The sequence below is a fragment of the Homo sapiens genome, chromosome 1, assembly GCF_000001405.40.
Source record: "Homo sapiens chromosome 1, GRCh38.p14 Primary Assembly".
Lineage (NCBI taxonomy): Eukaryota > Metazoa > Chordata > Mammalia > Primates > Hominidae > Homo > Homo sapiens.
The window spans coordinates 83286917-83314850 of NC_000001.11; the positions used below are offsets into that span (position 1 = coordinate 83286917).

A 27934-nucleotide genomic window follows, 5' to 3' on the forward strand; every position below is an offset into this window, starting at 1 on the left:
TCAATCTGCTTTTAATCCTCTTGAATGAACTGTTTGCCTTTTTCAGTTCTGGAATTTCCATTTAGTTCTTCTTTTGAGTCTTTATAGCTCCACAGAATTCTTCATTTTTTCACTCATTATATATATCTTTTCTTATAATTTATTTAATACATTTTAATATTTAAAAGTCATTGTTTGCTAATCACACCATCTATAATTTTTTCTGTGACCTTCTCTATAATGTCTTCCTATCCAAATAGACCAAAAACTTTACAACACAGAGATTATGAATGGCTGTTTCTCTTCTTTATCCAAGAGTAAATACCTAATATGTATTTGTTGAGTGAAGGAATGAATAAAAGATCAGTCCCCTAAGCACCACAAGCTTTACAAGTGCAATGCCATAAAAAATGCTCATAAAGACACTTGTAACAAATTTTTGAACCAAGCCCCAAATATAAAAATGGTTCCAGTGGCATATATATTTTTCACTATTAAAGTTATAGTAATGGAAGTCATTTTACTCAAATGCTTTTTAATTTTTCATAGTTGATATTAACATAAGGATTTTTTTGTCTGGTAGTGCCATAGATGGAGCAGAGTGAAGCAAGATAAAGCCTGTTGATTTTTCAATTCTTGTAGTTTTCCTAAGCTTGCAGGTGAGTAGTCATCATTTTTATGATTCTCTTTTTCAAAACCATCCACAATATTTTCTGTGGTTCCTGTGTGATTCATCTATAGTAGGTTGTTCATGTAAAGACCACATAACTGCAATTGGCTATTCTCTGTCTCTCTCTCTCAAAATTTAACTGGTAAAGCAGCATAAAGCAACACAAATCTCAGTGAGACGCCATTAAGTATACCTGATCTTGGAAGCTACTTTCTTTAAATACATTTAGAATTTAACCTGACTGTAGGTTTCAGAGTCCAAATCAAATCCCATGTGGAAGTCAGCCCCTTTGAAAAATTCTCATAAGTTTACCAGTGGACCAGAATAACATAGTTAAAAAACAAATGTCTGTAGGTTTCAGAGTCCAAATCAAATCCCATGTGGAAGTCAGCCCCTTTGAAAAATTCTCATAAGTTTACCAGTGGACCAGAATAACATAGTTAAAAAACAAAAGTGTGCCAAGTAGAATCAGATGACAAATCTCCAGTATCCAGTATATTTTTAAAAATATGTTACTGTGTTTGAACCAAATACAGTATGGAGGTATGGAGCTGGGAAATTCCAACAATAAAATGACTATGGCAGTTCCTCTGATCTGAAGGGGATACGTTCCCAGAGCCCCAGTGGATGCCTAAAACCACAGATAACAGTGAACTCTACTGATGCTATATATTTTTTCCTATATATACATACCTGTGATAAAATTTAGTTTATAAATTAGGCACAGTAAATATTAGAAACAGTAACTAATAGTTAAATGAAACAATTTTAACAATATATTGTAATAAAAGTTATGTGAATGTGGTCTGTCTCTCTCAGAAGATATCCTATTGTGCTGAACCACAGGTAACTGAAGGTACAGAAAGTAAAATAGTGGGTGGGGGTAACTATCCCATGTATATCCTGGCACACATAGCCCTGGCTACACATAGCAATGACTCAAGGATCAAGTCCCTAACTCCTTTTATTTTATACTCCAGACTTTCTGCCTTTCTAAGAATCTTGAAAAATAAGAGACTGCATTTTGTTTTTGTTTCATTAAAGGCGGGTGTAGTGAATGTTTATAGAATATCAATAATGTAGTTTGTAGCTTTGCATAATTAAAGGCACCCCTTATGTTAATAAAATTACATGAAAAGAGGCAGTACAAAACAAAGCATTAATATGTTCACACATTTGGTCTTATTTCAGGCAAGCTTAATTACAAAGACATGGGTGTCTGCTATACCTATAAAAATATTTTTTGTCACTTAGAGCTATCAAGCCTTATACCCATTTATGATATTAGTGAAAAAGAGCAAACATCATCATAATGGCCCACCAGTGAATACTTGCAGCCATGGCTGTGTAGACTATGAATCTGTAAATAGAAGCATATGTAAATGAACAAAGACTTTCCACACACACACGCAAAAGAAGATAATATGTTATTCTCTGTGTCTATGTTAAAGTGCCAACCAACAGAAAAAGCTGAGGAGATTCATTTCTCACGTGCATCATTAGTGTCAGATGCAGCAATTGTGATAATGCAAAATCCACAGTTGTTTTAAGTCAGAAAACCCAGATTGAGTTCTAGCTTCTCCTGTTCCTCACTTCATGCCATTGGGCAAGACACTTAACTTCTCTGAGCCCCAAATTTTTAATTTTTGAAGGTTAAATCAATAATTTATATAAGTCACGCACTTGGTATGAGGACTATACAAAAGTTACATAGTGATTTATATTTATGTTAATAATTTTTAATATCTGGTGTCTGGCACATATTATGCAGGTAACAAATATTTATTCCACTTCCTCCTCTTGTCTGACAGAATTGTGAAGATCAAGTGAGGTAGTATATATGAATGAACTTTAGATGAAAGAGATAAAATATAGCTATTTTCCTTGTTGTTGCAAAGAATATGAGCACACTAAGTTTCTACCTAGGAACAAACAATTGAACTGTGATTCATTTTAAGTTTACAAGATAGTTCAGGGCTGGATTTTAGATAGAGAGCAGCAAAGCTCACAATGTTTTTGGATAAAATTTACCCTGAGCATCCATTCAGAGAGTGAACTAACTCTGAGACAATCACAGGCAATTGGGACAGCTTTTGGGACTATAATATGCATATGAGTCCCAAGCATGCTGTTCCTTACAAATGCAGAATAAACAATTCCCTACATAAGATTTGAACCAGGTACTATGCAATCCCTATATTTCCATAAATAGCCAGGTTCCAAAGTGCCTTATATTCCATCAAGGGAGATTCATTTTACCATCATTGGTATAGGGGTTACGGAAAATTACAGAAATTAAAAGCACTTTGTAAGCCATTATTCACTCAACAAACTAGACTGATTATCACCTTCATCACTGTCACCATTGCCATCAATTGGTTCTATTCCCAACAAATTACTTCTGGTTGAGAAAATGGGTAAAATTCATTCACACGAAAATGTTAGGTAAAGGACAGGAGAGATCAAGATCACTATTTGCCTTGCTTTGGTGAAATGCTGGGTAAAGAGGGTGACCTAAAATATGGAAGGAGTCAGAAGAAAAAAAAATTGGTAGCAATTGTAACATTTGTTAATAATCTGCCAAATAATGGGCTAAGCTCATTACATGAATTATCTTATTTAAGGAATTAGTTAAGGGATAATTTAGCACATTTACAAATACTTTATAAGAGAATTTGGAGATACTAATACTCTCTGGATATAAAGCTTGGAATTTCATTAGCCATCATAAGCTTATAAAGTAAGCTACCCTGAGAACAATGCTGGCACCCCAAGCAGGGCAGAGTCAAGAGAATCACAGAGACATAGTGTCACTGCCATGATTAAGGGACATGTGAAGCTCACCATATTCTCTTATTCCCCATTAATGTGCACTTCGTGAAAAGTAAACTATAAAATGTAAATAAATAGCATAGGGCCTGCCTGGATGCTATATTTGGCTTGCTCGACCCCTCCAAATGTTATATGGAAATTTTATCCCCAGTATTGGAGGTGGGCCTAACTAGAATTGTTTGAGTTATGGAGGCAAATCCCTCATGAATGTCTTCATCTTACTTTATTAGTTACCAAGAAAGCTGGTTGTTAAAAAGAGCCCAGCACCTCCCCCACCCTTTTCGCCTCTCTCTTGCGTCCTCTCTCCCTTGCCATGTGATCTCAGTACACACCAGTTCCTCTTAGCCTTTTGCTGTGAGTATAAGCAGTCTGAAGCCCTCACCCAAAGCAGATGCTGGCATCATGCTTCTTGTACAGTCTACAGAACTGTGAGCTAAATAAACCTTTCTACTTTATAAATTACCCAGCTTCAGGTAGTCCTTTATAGCAACACTAAATGGACTGAGACACTGGCCTAATGCCTGTAAGGTTTTGCCTATGTATAACCTTATTATGAGAATATCACCTATTCCTTGTGTATACCCACATTGTTGAAATCCACCCATTCCAAAGTATGTCCTTCAAAGAGTGGCACAATTTATATCTAGAGAAAAATTAACATAAGAAATAAGTACTTAAGAAAATTGTCTTCCTTAAATTATAATCTATTTAAAGAGTGTGGGATGTGTGTCAACTTGACTGGGCTACAGGTGCACAGACATTTAGTCAAACATTATTCTGATCGTGTCTGTATGGATGTTTCCGATTAGATTAAATTTAAATCAATAGATGAGTAAAGAAGATTGCCCTCTCCAGTGTGGGTGAACCTCATCCAATCAATTGAAGACCACAATCAAACAATAAGGCTGAGTAAGAGGGAACTTTTCTTGCCTGAGTGGTTTAAGCTGGGACATTGGTCTTTTCCTGCCTTCAGACTCAAAATGAAACATCTGCTCTTTATGGCTTGAGCCTGTTGGCTTTTTGACTAGAACTTACACCATCGGGTCTCCTGTTTCTTAGGCCTTCAGATTTAGAGTGGAAATATACTGTCATCTCTCCTGTGTCTCCAGCTTTCCATGTGACCATAGAACCTCTCAGACTCCATAATCATGTGAGCCAATTCTCTATAATAAATTATATATATATAAATGATATGTATATTATACTATATTATATATCTATTACTATATATAATTTTATATGTAAGTATATATTAGCTACATATTTTAAATTATGTGTATAATGATATATTTATTTATTTATTTATTTATTTATTTATACATATCCTGTTAGTTCTGTTTCTCTGGAGAACTCTAACACAAGGAGAGAATCTTGGTTTTTAGTTATGGTGAAGCAGCTTGATTAGACTAACCCCCCTACTGATAACAACTATAAACTAAGGAAATAATAAAGAAAACAATCATGGAAGTCATTGGAGAATGACCAAAAGCAGAACCTAGAGAGGGTATCACCCTTATCAAGAAGGAAACACACTAGGAGGAGATCCACAAGCAATACTTATATTTTCTCTCAGGATGCTACTAGTCTTGTGGCTCACGAAGGGATAGAGCTCAAACAAAAAGAAGAAATTCTATTGATCTGGGAAGTATTTTTCTTTTTTCTTTTCCTTTTTCTTTCTTTCTTTCTTTCTTTCTTTTTTTTTTTTTTTTAGTTCAGCGCCACTAGAACAGTGGGAAACTAGTAAGGGAACACCTCAGAAAGATGCAGCTACAGAAGCAGCAACTGCAAATATGCACACAAATTCCCCTCAAATCCTGAATTGACCCTGAATTGCACATAGATAAGGCAAGGTTTCAGGGACACTAGCAGAAGGATACAGGTGGAAGGTTTAAAGAACTTTTTGAGATTTCAGTAGCTGCCCATTACCGGACAGACAGAGATTGGAGTTGGAGTCTTGTCAAGTTAGAAAGGCTTAGTAAATACCTTGCATTTTCACTTGACACCAAACTGTATATCCAGTGGCAAAAGCAAAACAGAAGTAGACTTATCCCAACAAAGGCCCAAACGAAGTTTCCACCCATAATTAAACTGCTCACTAGAATAAAACAAATCATCCTTCATAAAAGACTTTTTAAAATGAAAAGATAAAAAATGGGCAAAGAGATGGGTACATTTTTGGAAAAGGTACAAACTGTAAATGAACTACATGGAAATTCTAGACTTGAAAAAGAAGCATGTGAAATAAGAAATTTATTGGATAAGTTTACCAGCATATTTAGCACAACAAAAAAAAAGGATATATGAGGCTGAATCACAGAAAGATAAAATGAATTAAGACAAATGAGCAAACCCTCAATGACTTGTGGTATAAAATCTAAAATACATGTAATCAGAGTCCCAGAAATAGAAGATAAAGAAAAAGGGTAAAAAGTCACTTTTTCAATACATAGATAGAGGAAGATCAGAGCACCCCAAGCAATAAAAATATTTAAAAATACAAAAGAAAACAAAAAAAAAAATAAAAATAGGCAATTTGGAACCAATCTTACATAAACCAAAGAAAAGAAAAGAATATCTTAAAATTGGTTGAGGGAGGGGGAACTATTGCTTACTGGGGAACAACAGTAAGAATGACAGCATTAGGAGATCGAAGATAAGAAAACAATTTTTGAAGTGTTATAAGAAAAAAAAATGTTAGCCTAGGATGATATAAACTGGGAAATCGTCCTTAAGAGATAAAAGCCAAATAAATACATTTGCAGAAAAATCAAAATCTTGAGAATGTGTTGCATATAGATTTGCTCTCCAAGAAATGCTACAGTTTCCTCAAGTTGAATGGAAATGAAGCCAGATAAAACTACAGTTGTCCCTCAATATCCATGGGAAATTGTCTCCAGGACCCCCTGGGATACCACAATTCCCAGATGCTTAATTCCTTTATATAACAAGTGTATTATTGCATACGACCTACACATTTTCTCTTGTATACCTCAAATCATCTCTAAATTACTAATAATACCTAATACAATGTAAATGCTGTCTAAATAGTTGTTATACTGTATTGATTAAGGGATAATGACAAGAAAAAAAGTCTATACAGTTCAGTACAGACCCAACAATTTTTTTCAAATATTTTCCATCTGCATGTATATGAATCCACAGATGCAGAATTCACAGATGAGAAGGGCCAACCGTACAGATCTCTGAGAAGAAATTTAATAATGAATATGTGGGTAGTAATAAATATTTTTTTCTTAAATTCTTTGGAAGTTAACTCACAGTTTAAATAAAAACAGTAATTTTTTTTTTGGTGAGGCTTATAATAGATCCAAAGTAAAATTCATTATAACTATAGCATAATAGACAGGAAGTGTGTAAATATAATAAATTACAATGTTGCAAGGTTCTTACTCTTTCCACATGTTGCAAGATTCTTACTTTTTCCACGAGGTAGTAAAATATTAATTCATAGGAGTCTGTTGTGTGTGTGCATTGTAATATCTAGAGTAATCTGTTGACAAAATAATGTAATGAAGGGACTCTAAAAATCAAATAGGACAATAAAATGAATCCTAAACAATACTCTGCTCAAAATAAGTCAGTAAAAGGAATAACAAAGATCAGAGGGTGCACATACATAAAACTTAGCAAGATAGTGAGTGATAAGCTCAATCACATCAATAAGTGTATTAAATGTAACGAATAAAACACTCTAATTATATTTGTCAATAAATCAATGTAAAAATAATTTAGTTTGCCCAGATCAAGATAATAGATTAAATACAGACATTTAATTTCTGCTCATTTCCTGCCTTATATAAGCCTGCTAAAATTAGAGTAAAAGTGTTTTATTTTTCTTTTTGCCCCAAATGGTTTTTTGGGTGTTAATTCCTAAATCAAAGAGAATATGAAAGGACACAAGAGCATTAAAGATATATATATTTCGGAAAGTGAGAAAAAAGAAAGAAGAAGAAATTATCAATGGCATAAGTCAAGAAGATGTCATAGAACTGAAGGACATAGACATGAGCTCCCAGATGTAAACAGCTCACCAAGCAACTAGTACAATGGTTGTGAATTAACTCACATCATTGTGAAATATCAGAGTGCTGAAGGCAAATAGAAGGTGATACTGGCTTGCAGAGAGGCAAAACAAAAACAAAAAACGTTTTTTATACAAAGGTATGGAGGCTAGTTGATGGAAGTTTTTTTTAAGCTAGAAGACAGTGGAGCAAGTCTTCAAAATTCTGAGCAAAAATGATTTCTAATCTAGAGTTCCATACTAATGCCTAATAATTTTACTTCTAATGTACCATTTTTAATAAGCTACTGAAAACAGAATCCAATAATTTAAACAACAACAAAAAGTAACCAAGAAGGAGAAATACAAGAAATCTAAGAAATAGGGAATCCATTACAGGATGGAAGTTAAAGGAATCCACAGGATGACGGTAGAGGAAAAGCCAACTCATATTCATTTGCTACGTAGCAGGTCAGAAATCTCCCAAAGAGATTTTTTTTTTCAAGAAAATAATGGGTAGAATATTTAATAGGATTTAATCTAGTAAGAATAAAATTGTGTACACCAGTTAAGGAAGGTTTGGGTTTGAAATACCAAGAGAACATAAAATACTAAGACAAAAAAAGTAATCCATCAACAAGGGCAAATGACCAGACCAAGCATATGCCATGTCTGCTAAAATGGCAACAAGCCAGTCTTAACAATGAAGCTAGTTCATGAGGGAAAATCATGAAAATTATGGAGACAGGAGTGGTAGTCGGGTTTATTTTACTTATTGTTCATCACATTCTTGGAGAACACACAGAAATCTAATGGAGCTGGAAGTCAGATTCTTTGTGAGAGACTTTAAAATTACATGATTGGGGAAAATCATGCAATTTAAAGGATACTGACTCTTACTGGTATAAGAGGCTAGCATCCAACAGCAACACAACATGGAAACCAACCCTATTTTATAAGCAACCTATTCATGTATGGAAATCACCTACCTTTCTAAAATGTTATAGGCACCCTCTGAGGTGGCCCACTAATGATCGGCACTTCCTGATGTTCATATTTTTTGTTTAATATCCCATTCTTTGAGTATAGGCTGGACTTATTGACTCACTTCTAAGGAATGGATGCTGTGGAATATCACTTTCTAAATTAGGTTATAAAAAGACTGTGGCTTCCATCTTTGGTTCTCCCTCTCCCTCTGTCTTGTTCACTCCAGGGGAAACCAGGTTCCATGTCATGGGGCAGCCCTGTAGATCAGCCCACATAGTTGAACTTGGAAATAGATTTTCTAAATCTTACCAAGAGTCACATGTGTGAACTTGTAAGTGACTCTCCCCCAAGTCAAGTTTTGAAATTACTGGACTCCTTGATTACATCCTGATAAGGGAGTAAATCATCACCCTCTAGCTCAACTACTCCTCCTTATGACTCACTGTAACTGTGAAGTAATAAACCTTTTTGCTTTCAGTTGCTATGTCCTGGGGAAATTTGTTATGCAGCAATAGACAGCTAATACGCCTAGTGTGATCAGAAAGCTGGGCTTCAGGCCTTGTAGTTACACCTTATATGGTAAGGTGAATGGCTGACCCAATTTACCCCCTCAGCTTTCTACCAAAATTGATTGCCTTAAGCACTCAGTTATGACCAGTTTTCATAGCATTTTGTAGAAGGCCACCTTGCAAAGAAGTCTTAAACAAACTAATCTTTGATTCTCAGTTTAAACCTTCTCTGTGATCACAAAAGGGGACTTCATAGATCAGAAAGATCTATAGACATCAGACCTATAGATCAGATTAGAATACACTAACATGTCAGCAACTTGTAGTTGCAATGCTAGTCACAAATATGATTATGATAAACTCTGGAGGATGGATAACAGAATACATAGGAGAAGAAACATTTCAAAAAATACACTTGAAGCTCTCTTCTATGTCAGACTATGGGAGCTCTGACCTGACTAGAGAAAAGGTCCCAATGTTCTTACTTGGGTGCCTTATACAAACATCCTTCCTGTTACTCTATTCAGGACAATGATTCTCCCACTTTTCCACTTGTTGATAACCTCTATAAAACATAATGCTGGTAAGGATGAAACACTTCTTCATTGGCCAATATTGAAAAGCCATTCCATTGTATAAAACTACCCTTGCGAAAGAATCTTAGCTAGCCCACGGTGACTCCAAGTCCCAGACTATCTAAATGGCCATTTGACTTAGCTTGATGTAAAAAAAAATCTATATTATAGTCAGATTAATCACCCCTACATGGGGATAAAATATAACTGAGGTTGTGGATTATTTTGACTTTCACTATCAGTGCCCTTTCCTTCAGTAAGATAACTTGTTTGAACCACAGGGGCCAGAAAACAAGCCCTGGAAAACTCGCAGTGGCCAGATAATCAATTTAATGCAGCATATTAGAGTCTCCTTTGGCAGACAGGGGAGCATCATGTATCTACATAGAAAGAACCACATGGAAGGGGCACATTGTCCCATCCAGAGAGTGCCATTTATAGTCCTAGGGTCCAGTCACTGGCTGCTCTCATAGATGTTACATTTTAGTGGGTAAGACAGACAATAAAGCAAAGAACCATTTCAAAGAGCTGTGACTGCTATGAAGAAAAAAATGGGTTATGGGTAGAGAGCAACTGAAGAGGGTATGTGGGAGATATTAATAGGGTTGCCAAGATAGATCCCTCTAAAGGAATGATATTTGAGCTCAGAGCTAGTCATACAAAATCTTGGAGAAAATATTCCAGATGGCAAGCAAGCAAGTTCACAGTCAGGAAGAAGTTTGGTATGTCCCTGAAACAGGAAGCTACAATGACTTGAAAGTAAGTGGGAGAGTGTGTGAAAGAGTTCCAAGGGCAAAGGGCCATGTAGAGCCTTGAATGTTTGGGTAAAATTTTTAATTTTAATTTTGCGTATGAGCTGAAACCACTGGGAAATTTTTAGCAGAAAAGCAATAGGATCTGATTCAAGTTTTTAAAAAGATGTCTTTCTGTCTTGGTTGATAATTGATTCCAGGGCATGAAGCAAAAAAGTCCAGGCTGAGGTGGGCAGATCACAAGGTCAGGAGATAGAGAACATCCTGGCTAACACAGTGAAACCCTGTCTCTACTAAAAATACAAAAAAATTAGCTGGGCGTGGCGGCGGGCACCTGTAATCCCAGCTAGTGGGGAGGCTGAGGCAGGAGAATGGCGTGAACCCGGGAGGTGGAGCTTGCAGTGAGCCGAGATTGCGCCACTGCACTCCAGCCTGGGCAACAGAGCAAGACTCTGTCTCAAAAAAAAAAAAAAAAAAAAAAGTCCAATGAGTAGACCATTGTGGTTGTTCAAACCAGAGACGATGGTGGCTTGGAATAAATAAGAACAGTGGCATGACAATCTGTAGACTGGGTTCCCAAATATTTTGGGGGAAAAACTTTAATAACTTGCTGATAGACTGGAAATGAGGAGAGAGAGAAAGCGAAAAATCAAAAAATGATTCTCAAAGATTTACTTTGAGAAGGAGGGAGCTGGTAGTAGAGAAGGTGAAATAAAGCTTACTGTTTTTCATCTATGCAATATTGAGATGCTATTAGTCATCTAAATGAAGATGTCAAGATGGGGGGTCAGTTGAGGTGAGAAACCGAATAAAAATTCAGGGCTTGTGATAAAAATTAGAGACTTACCAGTGTATCAATGGTGTGTAAAATTGTAGAAGTAGATGAGATTAATAAAGAAAAAAATTCGTTACAAGAATCATTGGATAGATTTAGGGATCATGGCAGATGGGAGGCAGGACTAGATTGCTCCAGACACAGCAGTATGCAGAGGCTCGCATTGTGAATTTTACCTCCAGATCGACTGCAAGAACAAACCAGAAATCCCAAGAGGACCCACAGACCCTCTGAAGGAAGCGACTACTCCTGCAGGACCCAGGAGACACCCTAAATACTGTGAGTGCCCCAGCTGCAGAAGTGGGAAAGGGAGAGCCTCCTCTCCCAAACACACACCCCCGCTGGAGAAGCTGAAGGTCTGTTTGCGGGAGAAGTTTCCAACTTTACTTGGAGCTGAGTCAGGTTAGAGAGCCAAGCTGAACAAAATACAGGGGTAGAGGAAGCAGCAGAAAAGCTCTGGGAGCTTGCTGGGTCCCCAAGCAGCCTATTGCTGCCTGGCACCATAGGGATCCATCAGGAGGGTGGCCAGAGAAGCCGAGGGTAAAACTCCACAGGCAGAAGGAATTCTCTAGCTGACCTTTGTAACAATTTGAACAGAGTGAGAAGCCTCCTGGCCAGAACTTGGGAGAGGGTGTGAATCCGGCTTACAGACTTCACAGGTGGAGGAAGAACTAAAGCCCTTTTCTTTCACAACTGGGAGGTGGAAAGCCTCAGGCAAGTTTTCAAGCCTGTCTCACCCTCCACCTGGAAACAGACTTGGGGCTGTTGCAGGGGGCATGGTGGGAGTGAGACAAGCCCCTCGGTTTGCATGGGAGCTGGGTGAGGCCTGTGACTGCCAACTTTCCCCCACTTCCCTGACAACCTGCATGACTCAGCAGAGGCATCCATAATCTTACTAGGTACACAAGTCCAGTGACCTGGGAATCTCATCCCCATCCCCCACAGCAGTTACAGCAAGACCCGCGCAAGAAGAGTCTGAGCTCAGAACCACCTAGCCCCATCCCCACCTGATGGTCCTCCCCTCCCCACCCTGGTAGCGGAAGACAAAGGGCATATAATCTTGGGAGTTCTAGGGCCCTGCCCACCACTGGTCCTTCCCCACACTACTACAGCTGATGCTTTCTGGAAAGCACTACCTCCTGGCAGGAGGCCAAGCAGCACAAAAATAGAGCATTAAACCACCAAAGCTAAGGACCCTCATGAAGTCCATTGCACCCTACGCCATCTCCACTGGAATAGGTGTTGGTATTCACGGCTGAGAGACTCATAGACAGTTAACATCACAGGACTCTGCCTGGAGCCAGGTAGACTTGCTGGGTGGCTAGACCCAAAAGAGAGACAACAATCACTGCAGTTCGGCTCACAGGAAGCCACATCCATAGGAAAAGGGGGAGAGTACTGCATCAAGGGAACACCCCGTGAGACAAAAAATATCTGAACAACAGCCTTGAGCCTTAGAGTTTCCCTCTGACAGAACCTACCCAAATGAGAAGGAACTGGAAAACCAACCCTGGTAATATGATAAAACAAGGATGGTCAACACCCCCCACCCCCAAAATCACACTAATTCACCAGCAATGGATCCAAATCAAGAAGAAATCCCTGATTTACCTGAAAAAGAATTCAGGAGGTTAGTTATTAAGCAATCAGGGAGGAACCAGAGAAAGGCAAAGCCCGAAGCAAGGAAACCCAAAAAATGATACAAGAAGTGAAGAGAGAAATATTCAAGGAAACAGATAGCTTAAAGAAAAAAACAATAAAAAAATTCAGGAAACTTTGGACACACTTTTAGAAATGTGAAATGCTCTGGAAAGTCTCAGCAATATAATTGAACAAGTAGAAGAAAGAAATTCAGAGCTCGAAGTCAAGGTCTTTGAATTAACCCAACCCAACAAAGACAAAGAGAAAAGAATAAGAAAATATGAACAAAGCCTCCAAGAAGTCTGTGATTATGCTAAATGACTAAACCTGAAAATAATCGTTGTCCCTGAGAAAGAAGACAATTCTAAAACCTTGGAAAACATATTTGGGGGAATAATAAACAAAAACTTCCCCAGCCTTGCTAGAGAACTAGACATGCAAATATGAGAAGCACAAAGAACACCTGGGAAATTCATCACAAAAAGATCTTCACCTAGGTATATTGTCATCAGGTTATCTAAAGTTAAGACAAAGGAAAGAATCTTAAGAGCTGTGAGACAGAAGCACCAGGTAACCTATAAAGGAAAACCTATCAGATTAACACAGATTTCTCAGCAGAAACTCTACAAGCTAGAAAGGATTGGGGCTTTATCTTCAACCTCCTCAAAACAATTTTCAGCCAAGAATTTTGTATCCAGTGAAACTAAGCATCATATATGAAGGAAAGATAGTCATTTTAAGACAAACAAATGCTGAGAGAATTTGCCACTGCCAAGCCACCACTACAAGAACTTTAAAAGGAACTCTAAATCTTGAAACAAATCCTGGAAACACATCAAATCAGAACCTCTTTAAAGCATAAATCACACAGGACCTATAAAGCCAAAATACAAGTTAAAAAGCAAAACCAAAACCAAAAAAAAAAATTAAAAAAAAAAGTACACAGGCAACAAAGAGCATGATGAATGCAATGGTACCTCACATTTCAATACTATCATTGAATGTAAATGGCCTAAATGATCCACTTGAAAGATTCAGAACCGCATAATGGATAAGAACTCACCAACCAACTATCTGCTACTTTCGGGAGACTCACCTAACACATAAGGATTCACATAAACTTCAAGTAAAGGGGTGGGAAAAAGGCATTTCATGCAAATGGACACCAAAAGCGACTGGGGTGGCTATTCTTGTATCAGACAAAACAAACTTTAAAGCAAAAAATCCCAGCACTTTGAGAGGCCGAGGCGGGCGGACCATGAGGTCAGGAGATTGAGACCATCCTGGCTAACATGGTGAAACCCCGTCTCTACTAAAAATACAAAAAAAAAATTAGCCGGGCATGGTGACGGGAGCCTGTAGTCCCAGCTGCTCGGGAGGCTGAGGCAGGAGAACGGCATGAACCTGGGAGGCGGAGCTTGCAGTGAGCTGAGATCACGCCACTGCACTCCAGCCTGGGCAACAGAGCAAGACTCCGTCAAAAAAAAAAAAAAAAAAAAAAAAGCAACAGCAGTTAAAAGAGACAAAGGAGGACATTATATAATGCTAAAAGTCCTTATCCAACAGGAAAATATCACAATCCTAAGCATATATGGACCTAAAACTGGAGTTCCCAAATTTGTAAAACAGTTACTAATAGACCTAAGAAATGAGATAGACAGCAACACAATAATTGTGGGGGACTTCGGTATTCCACTGAGAGCACTAGACAGGTCATCAAGACAGAAAGTCAACAAAGAAACAATGGATTTAAACTATACCTTGAAACAAATGGGCTTAACAAATATATACAGAACATTTCATCCAACAACCGCAGAATACACATTCTGTTCAACAGCACATGGAACTTTCTCCAAGATAGACCGTATGATAAGTCATAAAACAAGCCTCAATATATTTAAGAAAATTGAAATTATATCAAGCACTCTCTCAGACCACAGTTGAACAAAACTGGAAATCAACTCCAAAAGGAACCTTCAAAACCATGTAAATACATGGAAATTAAATAACCTGCTCTTGAATGAGTATTGGGCCAAAAACAAAATCAAGATGGAAATTAAAAATTATTTGAACTGAATGACAATAATGACACAACCTATGAAAACCTCTGGGATACAGCTAAGGTGGTGCTAAGAGGAAAGTTCATAGCGCTAAATGCCTATATCCAGAAGTCTGAAAGAATACAAACAGACAACCTAAGGCCACACCTCAAATAACTCGAGAAACAAGAACAAAACAAACTCAAACCCAGCAGAAAAAAGGAAATAACCAAGATCAGAGCAGAGCTAAATGAAATTAAAATAAAAAAATACAAAAGATAAATGAAAAAAAAGCTGGTTATTTGAAAAGATAAATAAAATTGATAGACCATTAGCAAGATTAACCAAGAAAAGAAGAAAGAAAATCCAAATAACCGCACTAAGAAACGAAACAGGAGACATTACATCTGACACCACTGAAATACAAAAGATCATTCAAGGCTACTATGAACACCTTTAAGCCCATAAACTAGAAAATCTAAAAGAGATGGATAAATTCCCGGAAAAACACAACCCTCCTTGCTTAAATCAGGAAGAATTAGATACCCTGAACAGACCAACAAAAAGCAGTGAGATTGAAATTGTAATTTAAAAATTACCAACAAAAAAAAGTCCAGGACCAGATGGATTCACAGCAGAATTCTACCAGACATTCAAAGAAGAATTGGTACCAATCATTTTGACACTATTCCACAAGAGAGAGAAAGAAGGAACCCTCCCTAATTCATTCTATGAAGCCAGCATCACCCTAATACTAAAACCAGGAAAGGACACAATCAAAAAAGAAAACTACAGACAGATATCGTCGATGAACATAGATGCTAAAATCCTTAACAAAATACTAGCCAACCAAATCCAACAACATATCAAGAAGATAATTCACCATGATCAAGTGGGTTTCATACAAGGGATGCAGAGATGGTTTAACATACACAAATCAATACATGTGATACACCACATAAACATAATTTTTTTAAAAAATCACATGATCATCTCAATAGATGCAGAAAAAACATTCAACAAAATCCAGCATCCTTTATGATTAAAACCCTCAGCAAAATCGACATACAAGGGACATACGTTAATGTAATAAAAGCCATCTATTACAAATCCACAGCCAACATAATACTGAATGGGGGAAACCTGAAAGCATTCCCTCTAAGAATGGGAAAAAGGCAAGGATGCTCACTCTCACCACTCCTCTTCAAAATAGTACTGGAAGTCCTAGCCAGAGCAACTACACGAGAGAAAGAAATAAAGGACATCCAAATCGGTAAAGAGGAAGTCAAACTGTCACTATTGGTGACGATATGATCGTTTACCTTGAAAACCCTAAGAATTCCTCCAAAAAGCTCCTAGAACTGATAAAAGAATTCAGCAATGTTTCTGGATATAAGATTAATGTACACAAATCAGTAGCTCTTCTATACCCCAACAGTGACCAAGCATAGAATAAAATCAAGAACTCAACTCCTTTTACAATAGCTGCAAAAAAAAAAAACAAAAAAACCAAAACAAACAAACAAACAAACAAACAAAACTTAAGAATATACCAAACAAAGGAGTTGAAAGACTGCTGCAAGGGAAACTACAAAACACTGCTGAAAGAAATCATAGATGACACAAACAAATGGAAACGCATGCCATGCCCATGAATGGGTAGAATCAATATTGTGAAAATGACCATACTGCCAAAAGCAATCTACAAATTCAATGCAATCCCCATCAAGATACCACCATCATTCTTCACAGAGTTAGAAAAATCAATTCAAAAATTCATATGGAACCAAAAAAAAAAAAAGAGCCTGCATAGCCAAAGCAAGACTAAGCAAAAAGAACAAATCTAGAGGCATCACACTGCCTGATTTCAAACTATACTATAAAGCCATAGTCACCAAAACAGTGTGGTACTGATATAAAAATGGGCACATAGACCAATGTAACAGAATAGAGAACCCAGAAATAAACCCAAATACTTAGAGCCAACTGATCTTCAACAAAGCAAACAAAAAATAAAGTGGGGAAAGGACATCCTTTTCAATAAATGGTGCTGGGATAGTTGGCTAGCCGCGTGTGGGAGAACGAAACTGGATCCTCATCTCTCACCTTATACAAATATCAACTCAAGATGGATTGAAGACTTAAACCTAAGACCTGAAACTATAAAAATTCTAGAAGATAACATTAGAAAAACCCTTCTAGACATTGTTTTAGGCAAGGATTTCGTGACCAAGAACCCAAAAGCAAATGCAATAAAAACAAAGATAAACAGCTGGGACAAAACTAAAAGAGTTTTTGCATGGCAAAAAGGAACAGTTAGCAGAGTAAACAGACAACCCACAAAGTGGGAGAAAATCTTCACAATCTATACACCTGACAAAGGACTAATATCCAGAATCTACAACAAACTCAAAAAACAAACAATCCCATCAAAAAGTGGGCTAAGAACATGAATAGAAAATTCTCAAAAAAAGACATGCAAATGGCCAACAAACATATGAAAAAATGCTCAACATCACTAATGATCAGGGAAATGCAAATCAAAACCACAGTGTGATACCACCTTACTCCTGCAAGAATGGCCATAATCAAAAAATCAAAAAACAGTATATGTTGGTGTGGATGAGGTGATCAGGGAACATTTCTACACTGCTGGTGGGAATGCAAACTAGAACAGCCACTATGGAAAACAGTGTGGAGATTCCTTAAAGAACTAAAAGTAGAACTACCATTTGATCCAGCAATTCCACTACTGCATATCTACCCAGAGGAAAAGAAGTCATTATTTGAAAAAGATACTTGCACACGCATGTTTATAGCAGCACAATTTATAATTGCAAAATTGTAGAACCAACCCAAATGCCCATGAATCAATGAATGGATGATGAAACTGTGGTATATATATACATGATGGAATACTACTCAGCTATAAAAAGGAATGAATTAACAGCATTTACAGTGACCTGGATGAGACAGGAGACTATTATTTTAAGTGAAGTAACTCAGGAATGGAAAACCAAACACTGTATATTCTCACTGATATGTGGAAGCTAAGCTATGAGGAAGCAAAGGCATAAGAATGATATAATGGACTTTGGGGACTTGGGGGGAAGAGTGGGAGGGGGGAAAGTGATAAAAGACAACAAATATGGTGCAGTGTATACAGCTCAGGTGATGGATGCACCAAAATCTCACAAAGCACCACTAAAGAATTTACTCATGTAACCAAATACCACCTGTACCCCAATAAATTATGGAAAAATAAAACAATAAAAATTTCTAAAAAATTAAAGATAAAAAAAGAGATGATTTTTTTTTTTTTAAAAAAAAAGAATCCTTGGACATTTCAGTTAAGGTAAAACAATTCCTGGGGTTTTCACATCTGAGTCATTGAGTTGTCAAAGCAAAAAGAGGCCTCCTCAGTAAACAATGTATTAATATTTAGGTAACTCTGTCTTTGAGAACCTAAAGTTTCCAAACTTCATGTATGTAAACTTACTGAGTGACACCAAGTCAGTGTAGTTTCCTTTATGTAGGTGACTAGTATTTTCTTTAATATTGTAATTATCAGAAGAGACAAAAGGAATTGCTCTGTTAAATCTGTATCTAAAGATGGTGGTATGGAGGCATGGCTTTTTAACATAATGGCTTAGTCTTGTTGATTCATTTTAGAAAAGAGATTGCCATAAAATATGTGGTAAATTGGAGATTCTCAATAACGACTACTTTAAATATTTTCTAAATAAGTATTCACACAACTCTTTTCCATTGAAGCTGTTAGTACCTGTTCATTAGTACCTGTATAAATGTTCTAACACAAGCAGCTGTACAACCAATGCTAAATGAAATAAAAATTGACACATTTCAGAGAAGTCTTGTGTTCTTCTCACCTATTTTTGAAGATTGAAGATTATTCTGTTTTCTTTTTATTATATCAAAAGAGGTATATTTCCTTTCTTTTTTCTTTCTTTCCTTTTTTTTTTTTTTTTTTGCAGAGAAAACTCCAAGTATTTTTTGCAAGGAAAAGTTGATGATACTGATGATGATGGTGATGGTGATGGTGGTACTGATTAGAGTGCTGATGGTAGTAGTCCTGGTGAGTGTTGGTGATCATAGCTAATCATCACTGAGATACTACTGTATTTCAAGTGCTGAGATAGGAGCTTAAACTGTGTTCTCACAACAAAACAAAATGCAAATTATTTGCTTTTTTTGCAGATTAACAAAATGAAGATGAAACACAGTAAATTACTTTTTCAAATTACTTGACTGGTAAGGCTAGGATCCACATCTTGGTCTATCTAACGCCAAAGCATTTATTCTTTACACTTTTTCATCCTGTGCATCAATCTATTAGAGTTCTTGTATTTATGTTAGTCATACTCTTATGTTTAAAAGCAAATGAAGATAATTTCTAAGTCAAATGTGTGTGTATGTGTGTTTACATTTCTAAGGATACTGAGACAATTGCTATACAAAATCTAAAGGAAATATGGCTTCACAAATTGTAGTAGATGTCCCAACTGTATTCCTTGAGATCTCACCATTGTAAGGAACTACTGGGCTTCCAACTGCCTGAAGGTACCATGACATCAGATCAGAAAGTGTTAAAATATATTCTACCCCCCACCCCATGCCCAGTATCTCTCAACCAATGTTAGATTTAGTATGCAAATCCTTAGCTCCTTTGCCCCTGATCTGAGCTAACTCTTAGGCACTTGTCATATATGACCCCAGAGTTCCCACTTGAAATTGCCATTTACCTTGCCGTACTGGTAACTGGCTTGAAAATATACTCTTTATTTTGTGCCTTTTCTTTTCTGCCTCAGTTCTCCACTCTCCTAACAATGCTTCCTGGGATCTCCTGCCAAGTAAACCAGTACTTTTCAAACCCTAGCCTCAGGGTCTACTTCTAAAATAACTCAAATTAATCTTTCTCAAGTATGTCCATGTTTTTATTCTGGCTTGAAAATTTTGGGTTACCTATTGAGATTGTACAGCAAAGAAAATATTTGAGCAGATTGCAGGCAGTATTATAACCACCATGGTACTCCCCCTTCATTTTTAATGAAATAGAGTTTCAACTATGTTCACTGCATTCTCAATCCCTAGTTATTAGATCTGAGACAGTTTTGCCTTTAAACTAAAGGTTATTCGGATTTTTGGTCCACGAACAGTGCAATGCTTGGAACTTCCTATATTTATCTGGTGCAAAGTCCTTTATGTGTGGTAAACAAGAGTCTAGGGCTCTATGGACTCTCACTTTTCATCATAGTTGTTATAGCACTCCTGACCTCAGCCTAGAATTGTGAGAATACAGGGCTGCTCCCAAACAAGTGAGGCTGAGTTATTTTGTTTACTTGACACTTTTGATAGAAGAGAGAGGTTTCATTCTAAAGGACTCATTCCTGTAGAAATTTGATTTACAGACATACCCCAGATATATTGTAAGTGCAGGTCCAGACCACCACAATAAAGTGAATATCACAATAAAGTGACTGACACAAAATTTTTGGTTTCCCAATGCATATAAAAGTTATTTTTACACCACGCTGTAGTCTACTAGGTATACAATGACATTACATATTAAAAAATACATATCTTAATTTAAAAATCCTTTATTACTAAGAAATGCTAACAATCCTCTGAGCCTTCAGCTAATTATAATCTTTTTGCTGGTGGAGGGTCTTTCTTCAATGTTGATGGCTCCTGGGTAATCTGGGTGATAGATACTCAAGGTTGGGTGGTTGTGGCAATTTCTGAAAATAAGGCAACAGTGAAGCTTGTCACATTAATTGACCCTTCCTTTCATGAAGATTCTCTGTGCATGTGATACTTTTCAATAGCATTTTATCAGCACTAAAACTTCTTTCAAAATTGGAGGCAATTTTCTCAAAACCTGCCACTGCTTTACCAACTGAGTTTATGTAATAGTCTAAATTCTTTGTTGTCACTTCAACAACATACACAGCATTTTCACCAGGAGCAGATTCCATCTCAAGAAACACTTTCATTGCTCATCCATAAGAAGTAACTTGTCATCCAGTCAAGTTTTATCATGAGATTGCAGCAATTCAGTCATTTCTTCCAGCTCCACTTCTAATTCTAGTTCTCTTGCTGTTTCCACCACAACTACAGTGACGTCCTCCACTAAGTCATTCATAGAGATTGAAATTAACTTCTTCCAAATTCTGGTTAATGTTGATATTTTGACCTCTGCCCATGAGTCTTAAATGTTCTTAATGGCATCAAGAATCATAAATTTTTTTTCCAGAATATTTTCAATTGGCTTTGCCCAGGTACATTAGAGAAATCACTAACTATGACAGCTGTACCATTACAAAGTGTATTTCCTAAAGAATAAGATTTGAAATTCAAAATTACTCCTTGATCCATGGGCTACAGAATACATGTTGTGTCAGCAAGCATGAAAACAACATTCATTTTATTGTACATCTCCATCAGAGCTTGTGGATGATGAGGTGCCTTACCTTTAAGAAGTAATATTTTTAAAGGAATTCTTTTTTCTGAGTAGTAGGTCTCAACAGTGGGCTTAAAATATTCAGTAAACCATCATGTAAACAGATCCAGGCTTTGCTGTTCCATCTATAGAGCACAGGAAGGTAGATTTGGCATAATAATAAGGACCCTAATATTTTTGGGATGGTAAATAAGCATTGGCTTCAACTTTAAGTCACCAGCTGCATTAGCTCCTAACAAGAGAATCAGCCTGTCCTTTGAAGGATTTGAAACCAGGCATTGACTCCTCTCTAACAATGAAAGTGCCAGATGGCATCATCTTCCAATAGAAGGCTATTTCATCTATATTGAAAATCAGTTGTTTAGTGTAGCCACCTCCATCAATATCTCAGCTAGATCTTCTGGATAACTTGCAGCTTCTATATCTGCACTTGCAGCTTTACCTTGTATTTTTAAGTAATGAAGATGACTTTTTTTTTCCTGAAAACTCATCAACCAACCTCTGCTTCTTTCAAACTTTTTCTTCTATAGCTTCCTCACTTCTCTCAGCCTTCATTGAAGATTAAAGGCTTTCTCTAAATTAGACTTTGGCTTGAGGAAATGTTATGGATGGTTTGATCTTTCTAGACCACTAAAGCTTTTTTCCATATCGGCAGTAAGGTTATTTTCTTACAATTTGTGAATACCCTGGAGTAGCACTTTTAATTTTCTTTTCTTCTGCATTCATAACTGGGCTAACAGTTTGGCTCAAGAGGCCTATCTTTCAGCCTTTCTGGGCTTTTGACATACCTTTCTCACTAAGCTTAATCATTTATATCTTTTGATTAAAAGTGAAAGACGTGTAACTACTCCTTTCATTTGAACACTTAGAGACCATTGCATGGTTATTAATTGTCCCAATTTCAATATTGTTGCACCTCAGGAAATAAGGAAGCCTAAGAAGGAGAAGAGAGATAGGGAAACAGCCAGTGGGTGGAGCTGTCAGAACACATACAACATTTATCACTTTAGTTCACTGTCTTATGTGAGCATGGTTTGTGGCACCCCAAAACAATCACAATAGGAACATCAAAAATCAGTGAAAACAGATTACCATAACGGATATAATAATAATGAAAAAGTGAAATATTGTGAGAGTTACCAAAATGTGACAAAGGGGCAGGAAGTAAGCACTTGCTTTTGGCAAAGTAATACTGATAGACTTGCTGGATACAGTTTCTGCATACCTTCAATTTGCAAAAATTGCAGTATCTATGAAGTGTAATAAAGTGAAGTGCAATAAGGTGAGGTATGCCTGTACACAGTGTAGCACTTAGATGTAATTCTGAATGATTCTGGCTTACCTTCACTCACATTTCTTTATTCCATAAAATTTTTAACTCATTTTATCATTTGTTTTATAAGATAGCTAATGGGATATTCATTAACTTATTTACAGTAGTGGACAATGGTTTGTTTATAGTAAGCTCATTTTTTGCTGCTGTATAATTAAACATTTTTTTCTGAATTTAACTTACCCTGAAGGCATTATTGGAGAAAATGCATCTACAGTATTTACATTTGTAACTCCTTTTTAAATTTACTAGCACAGGGAAATTTTATTCTTTTTAACACATCTTGGGTTTGGTTCTTTGTCTCTGGATCAAATAGAGATCACAATTACTAGAACATTTAATGTCCCATATGAATTTCTCAGGCTCCTTACTCTCTGAGAATTCATCTGCACAATTTAACCACAGGAAGAAATAAACATTTCTTTGGATTTATAAGAAGTAAAATATTCAAACCTCAACCGAAGAAACATTCATATCATCTGGGTATGTTCAAGAAAAAAAAATGTAAGCCAGACCATCCAACAACACATTAAAAGAGATAGTCATTTCTCTCATCTTGGGGCTGGAAATTTCTTTTCCAACTGACGTTTCCAACATGTGAAATATAGCTGCCATCACATTAACCAGATATACAGCACTCTGAGCTGAAAGCATAAATTGTACACATCTTGCTCTCAGTAGCTGTGAAGAGGAAACATAGGTGCAAGGTCAACAAGAACCCCTCCTATAGAAGAAGTCTACAAATTGAGAGGGGATGGGAGATCCTGCTATTGCTGGGATGGTCCTGTTTTTTGTCAAGCTATGTCATGGGACCTAGAGGCTCAGGAAATGAGCAGGAAGACTTTGTTCTGGATGAAAAGGACTACTTCATGTAGCCTTTGACATACTTTGAAAGGGAGGATGGAATAAGGGAGAAACAGCATCACATTTAATGCCTGGCTTTACCATTTACCAGCTGCGCAACCATTTAAACACTTGAGCAACCATTTAAACACTTGACCCTTGGTTTTCTCAACTGTGCTGTAGAGGATAATCATTACTTCTTTAACCTACCCCTACAGAGATTTTGTAGGGAATAGGTGACATGTTGTATGGGAAAGCACATTGTGTATTGTAAAACTGCATGCAGTAATTATAACGATTTACTTTTATTGACCCTGTAGTGCATGCTAGATATTCTTCTCAGGGTTTCATATAGTACCTCATTAAATCCTCATGGCGAACTTTGGAAAAGGTACTATTATTATTTTCATTGTACATTTCAGTAACTTGAACAAGGTTACAGGACAAGTAGAATATGGCAGAGATGGAATTTGAACCCAAGCAATCAAATTCAAAAGACTATACTCTAAAGCAATGGCACTCAGGGAGTGATCCATCAGTGCCTGTGCACAACAAGGTAAGTGCAGAAATTGAGCACAAGTGTTTGAAAACTTATGTAGCTTTTTGATATTGTCTCAATGTCAATATGTGATCATTTTTTATAGTAATCTGTGTTAATTGTCATTTATGAAATATTGGTCCCCAATGGATTGAAAAGAATAAGAACTCATTTCATCACAGATGGTTCTAAAAGCATTGTTCTGAAACACTACACTATAAGGTTGTAATTGCTTTTGTTATTGGAATATCGTAAGCAACTTGTAAGACAGACTTGCTAAGAGAATTAGAAGCTTTATAAATAACTATATCTAATTGAATATTCTTATGAATATTATAAAGATAAACAATAATTTATTAAACTAATATCAGGTTTTTGAGATAAGTACTCCGGGTCTGGCCAAATTTCTCCACTTTCTTTCCCTCTTTTTCCTGCTCTGTACTTTAGATACAGTACTACCAGAATAGTAGTTTTTCTACAAAACAAATATTCTATAATATATAAATAGTATTGGGGGAGCACAGGGGAGTTTGATCTCTAGGAGAAAGAGACTTGCACTGGCCACAATCGCAAATATCCCCCAAATAAAAAAGGGGGGAAATGAACAACTGTTATTAGAAATTTTGTATCTAATCAATTATGGAATAAATGAAAAACATCTTTATTACACCTGAGATTTTATAGCAATGCTTAGAAATATATTGAAATTCCATTTTTCTCCATGAGACAGTCTCTAGGTCTGACTTGTTTAGAATAAATGTTTGATTCTTTTACTTTCACTGAAATCTTATATATCAAACTTATTTCATTTGCTCAAAGAATTGCCATTTTCTCTTCTGCATTTTTTTTCATTCAAATCCCACCTCAAAGGAAGAAATTCTGATAAAATAAGAAATTCCTAGAGATTATTTTAATATCTATTCTGGGTTACATATGAAACCCATTGTTCAAGGCTTGTGGAGCACTTACATAAAAACCAGTTTCAGTCAGAAATTGATCATAAGCATATGTTGTGCAAAGAATATAATATCCAATTTGGTGAGAAGAACAAATGAACATATAAGCTTGAATTAAAAATAAATATAAAATTTAAAAAGTAAGTTACATTTGGAACTTTTGGTCCAAGAATAAATGTCTCCATGAAAGATATAGAAAGGAGGTTGATTTTTTTTTTGAAACATTGGGATTTATTTATCTTTCTCTTCTAAAGATATATAGTTTCTTTTTAGCACAACAGTCAAGACAGCACCTTGGGCTCTCAGAGATGGTAAATTCTACTCTCAGTTGCTCCATTAACTCAATATATGACCTTGGAAGTTTCTCTAAATCCCTTGGTGCCTCAGTTTCCTTTTCTATCAAATACATATGTCTGAAATAACTAAATCACTTCACACTGCCTTTAAGGAAAAAATAAAACAGGAAAAGAGAAGAGAATAAAATATCTGAGATCAAAGAAAGTTGGCATCTAAATGCCACATATCAATTGAATTGTAACATGTATGAAACTTAAATGGGAGTAAATAACAGTAACAAAAATGAGTTGAATTTTAATATGTATTAAACTTAAATGGGAGTAAATAACAGTAACTTAAATGGGAGTAAGTAATGGTAACTATTATAGATTATTGTAAAGTACTTAGCAGGGGGCTCTGGCACATAGTAAGCCTCAGTAAACTTTAGATTTTACTCTTGTTTTTATTATCATCATTCCTATTATGATAAAAATCAAGAGTCAGGGTAGCAGAGTGTGAGTGTAGTGGGGAAGAGGATTTACTCTAGGAAGTAGAGCTCGTAGAACTGAAGGAGGAGCTAGAGGAGTTCAAGTTTGGAAAGGGAATTGGAGGATTGGAGAAAGGGTTGTCAATCAGTCAATCTATGAACCAAGGCCATCAATTCATCAAAACTAATATTGCCAGACCCAACAAATTAAAAAGTACAGGATGCTCAGTTCAATTAGAATTTTAAATAAATCCTTTTTTTTTTTTTTTGGATGACTATGTCCCTGCAGTGGAGGACTATGTCTTTGAAGATAAAATGCCACAATTAATTCTCTAACACATTCAGGATTGTCCTTACTAGGAGATAATAGATTATTACCAATATTTCACTGCTATAATTAACTCTTGCATTATTTGGGACATACTTATACAAAAATATTTATTGTTTATCTGAAATTACAATTTAAATAAATGTTTTATATTTTACCTGTTAATCTTAGACTATGAAAGGAAAGTTCTTAGGGATACTTATGGGAAGGTTATCTTCTCTGTCCTTGTCTCACCACTGTAGGTCCACAACCTGGCATTTAGTGGTAGGCCTGGAGCTGCTCTTGGTCAACAGTGTCAGAAGTTGGGAAGAAGAGCTGCATATCAAGCAGAAGAGAATGAGAAGAAACAGGAACCCACTTCTGCATCTGTCTATAGCAACATCTGACTATAACGACCTTCAAAAGATAATGGCTGTTGCTTCATTTCCAACCCTCCAAATCTCAAGCAAGTATATCTTTGGGCCAACTGTAACCTATAACTCTATAGGGAAGAGGTTTCTGAGAACTCTGTGTCACAGCTTAACCATACAAAGACAATACAAACCATCCCGATGATGATGATGGTTGGTAATAATGAAGAAAATAATATGAGTGTTTTCTCAAGGAAGGCTACTTCTTGATGGCAGTTCTGGGAGACATAAGAGAAGTTTTATTTTTACCCAAATGGTTGGTAAATAAATTACTGTGTGACATGACAGAGTTCAAGTTATATGATATAGTAGATTCACATTATGCCAAAAACTATAAGACTCCCAGACACAGCCCAGGAATTCATTTTGAGAGCTATCATAGGCTTCTGAATGTGCTACCATCTATGCTCTTAATTTAAACCTTAATTTGCTGTGTGGACGACAGACTACTCTGAAAACAACCCCAAATGCTTCAGTGCAGGACTATGTGTCGTGGATAAAGTAACAAAATTACATATTCAACCCATTATGGCCATCCTCTTGTATGGAAGATGTAGATTGTTACCAATATTTAACTCTTATAATTAACTTGAATAAATTTCCTTACAAAATAAATATGTACACTTGTAAATATTCCATTATAGTATCTTTCTTAGTGTAGATATCCTGGAGTAAAAGAAAAATATTTACAAAACAAGGTAACAATTTTTAAAGCAAAATATCTATTATCAAATTGTTCTCCAGATAGGTATTACCAATTACACACCCACCAGCCCAGCAGTGTGAAAATATCACATCTCCCACACCCCCATCCACACCCACGTGGAAAATTATTATTAAAAATTAATTTTTACCAACTTGAGAGGGAAATGGTCCTATTTTAATTTTTTCAGGGGTGGATTCATATGTTTACTAGATATGTATATGTATCCTTCTATGAGATACTTGTTAGGTTATTTCCCATTTCTGTGTTGTGGCATTAATTTCTTTTTCTTGTTAATAATGCTCCCGAAGTTTTATGTCAGTCTTTTCATTTGTTTATAGTATTTTATGGCAAAGGATTTTCTTAATTAAGTGGTTGTAGTCAAATCTGCTAGTTTTTATCTTTGTTTTCAGTTTGCAATGTCATGTATAGACATGCCTATCTACCACCGAAAGTATTTTAAAAAGCAATGTGTAGGTTTTCTACTTTTGAAGAATGTGCGTTTTCTACTTTTGAAGTATGTGCATTTTCTACCAAAGTCTTTAGTTTGTTTGATATGTGCAATGAAGAAAAATATCTAACAATACCTTAACTTTTCTCGAATAATATTCCAATTATCCTAATATCCTTTGTGACTTAAACTTCCTATTCTGACTTAAAAAGACTTTTATCATAAGTGCTCTACTTAATCATAGCCTTAGCACATAGTGTGAGTCCTAGAGTCAGACTACAAGGTAAT

The 27934-nt window shown here is 36.2% G+C and overlaps 1 long non-coding RNA gene across 3 annotated transcripts; it reads left to right on the forward strand.

Moving 5' to 3' along the window:
- The first annotated feature begins 237 nt into the window (after positions 1–237).
- On the forward strand, positions 238–26950 carry LOC105378816 (uncharacterized). 3 transcript variants are annotated; one of them, XR_947541.3, is made up of 5 exons: positions 238–638; positions 4541–4631; positions 18836–18936; positions 23920–24053; positions 26325–26950. It is a non-coding gene; the product is annotated as an uncharacterized LOC105378816 (long non-coding RNA). The 3 variants fall into 3 exon arrangements; XR_002958324.2 differs by lacking the exon at positions 4541–4631 and having other exon boundaries at positions 239–638; XR_001738120.2 differs by lacking the exons at positions 238–638; positions 4541–4631 and adding an exon at positions 11415–11439.
- Positions 26951–27934: the final 984 nt, after the last annotated feature.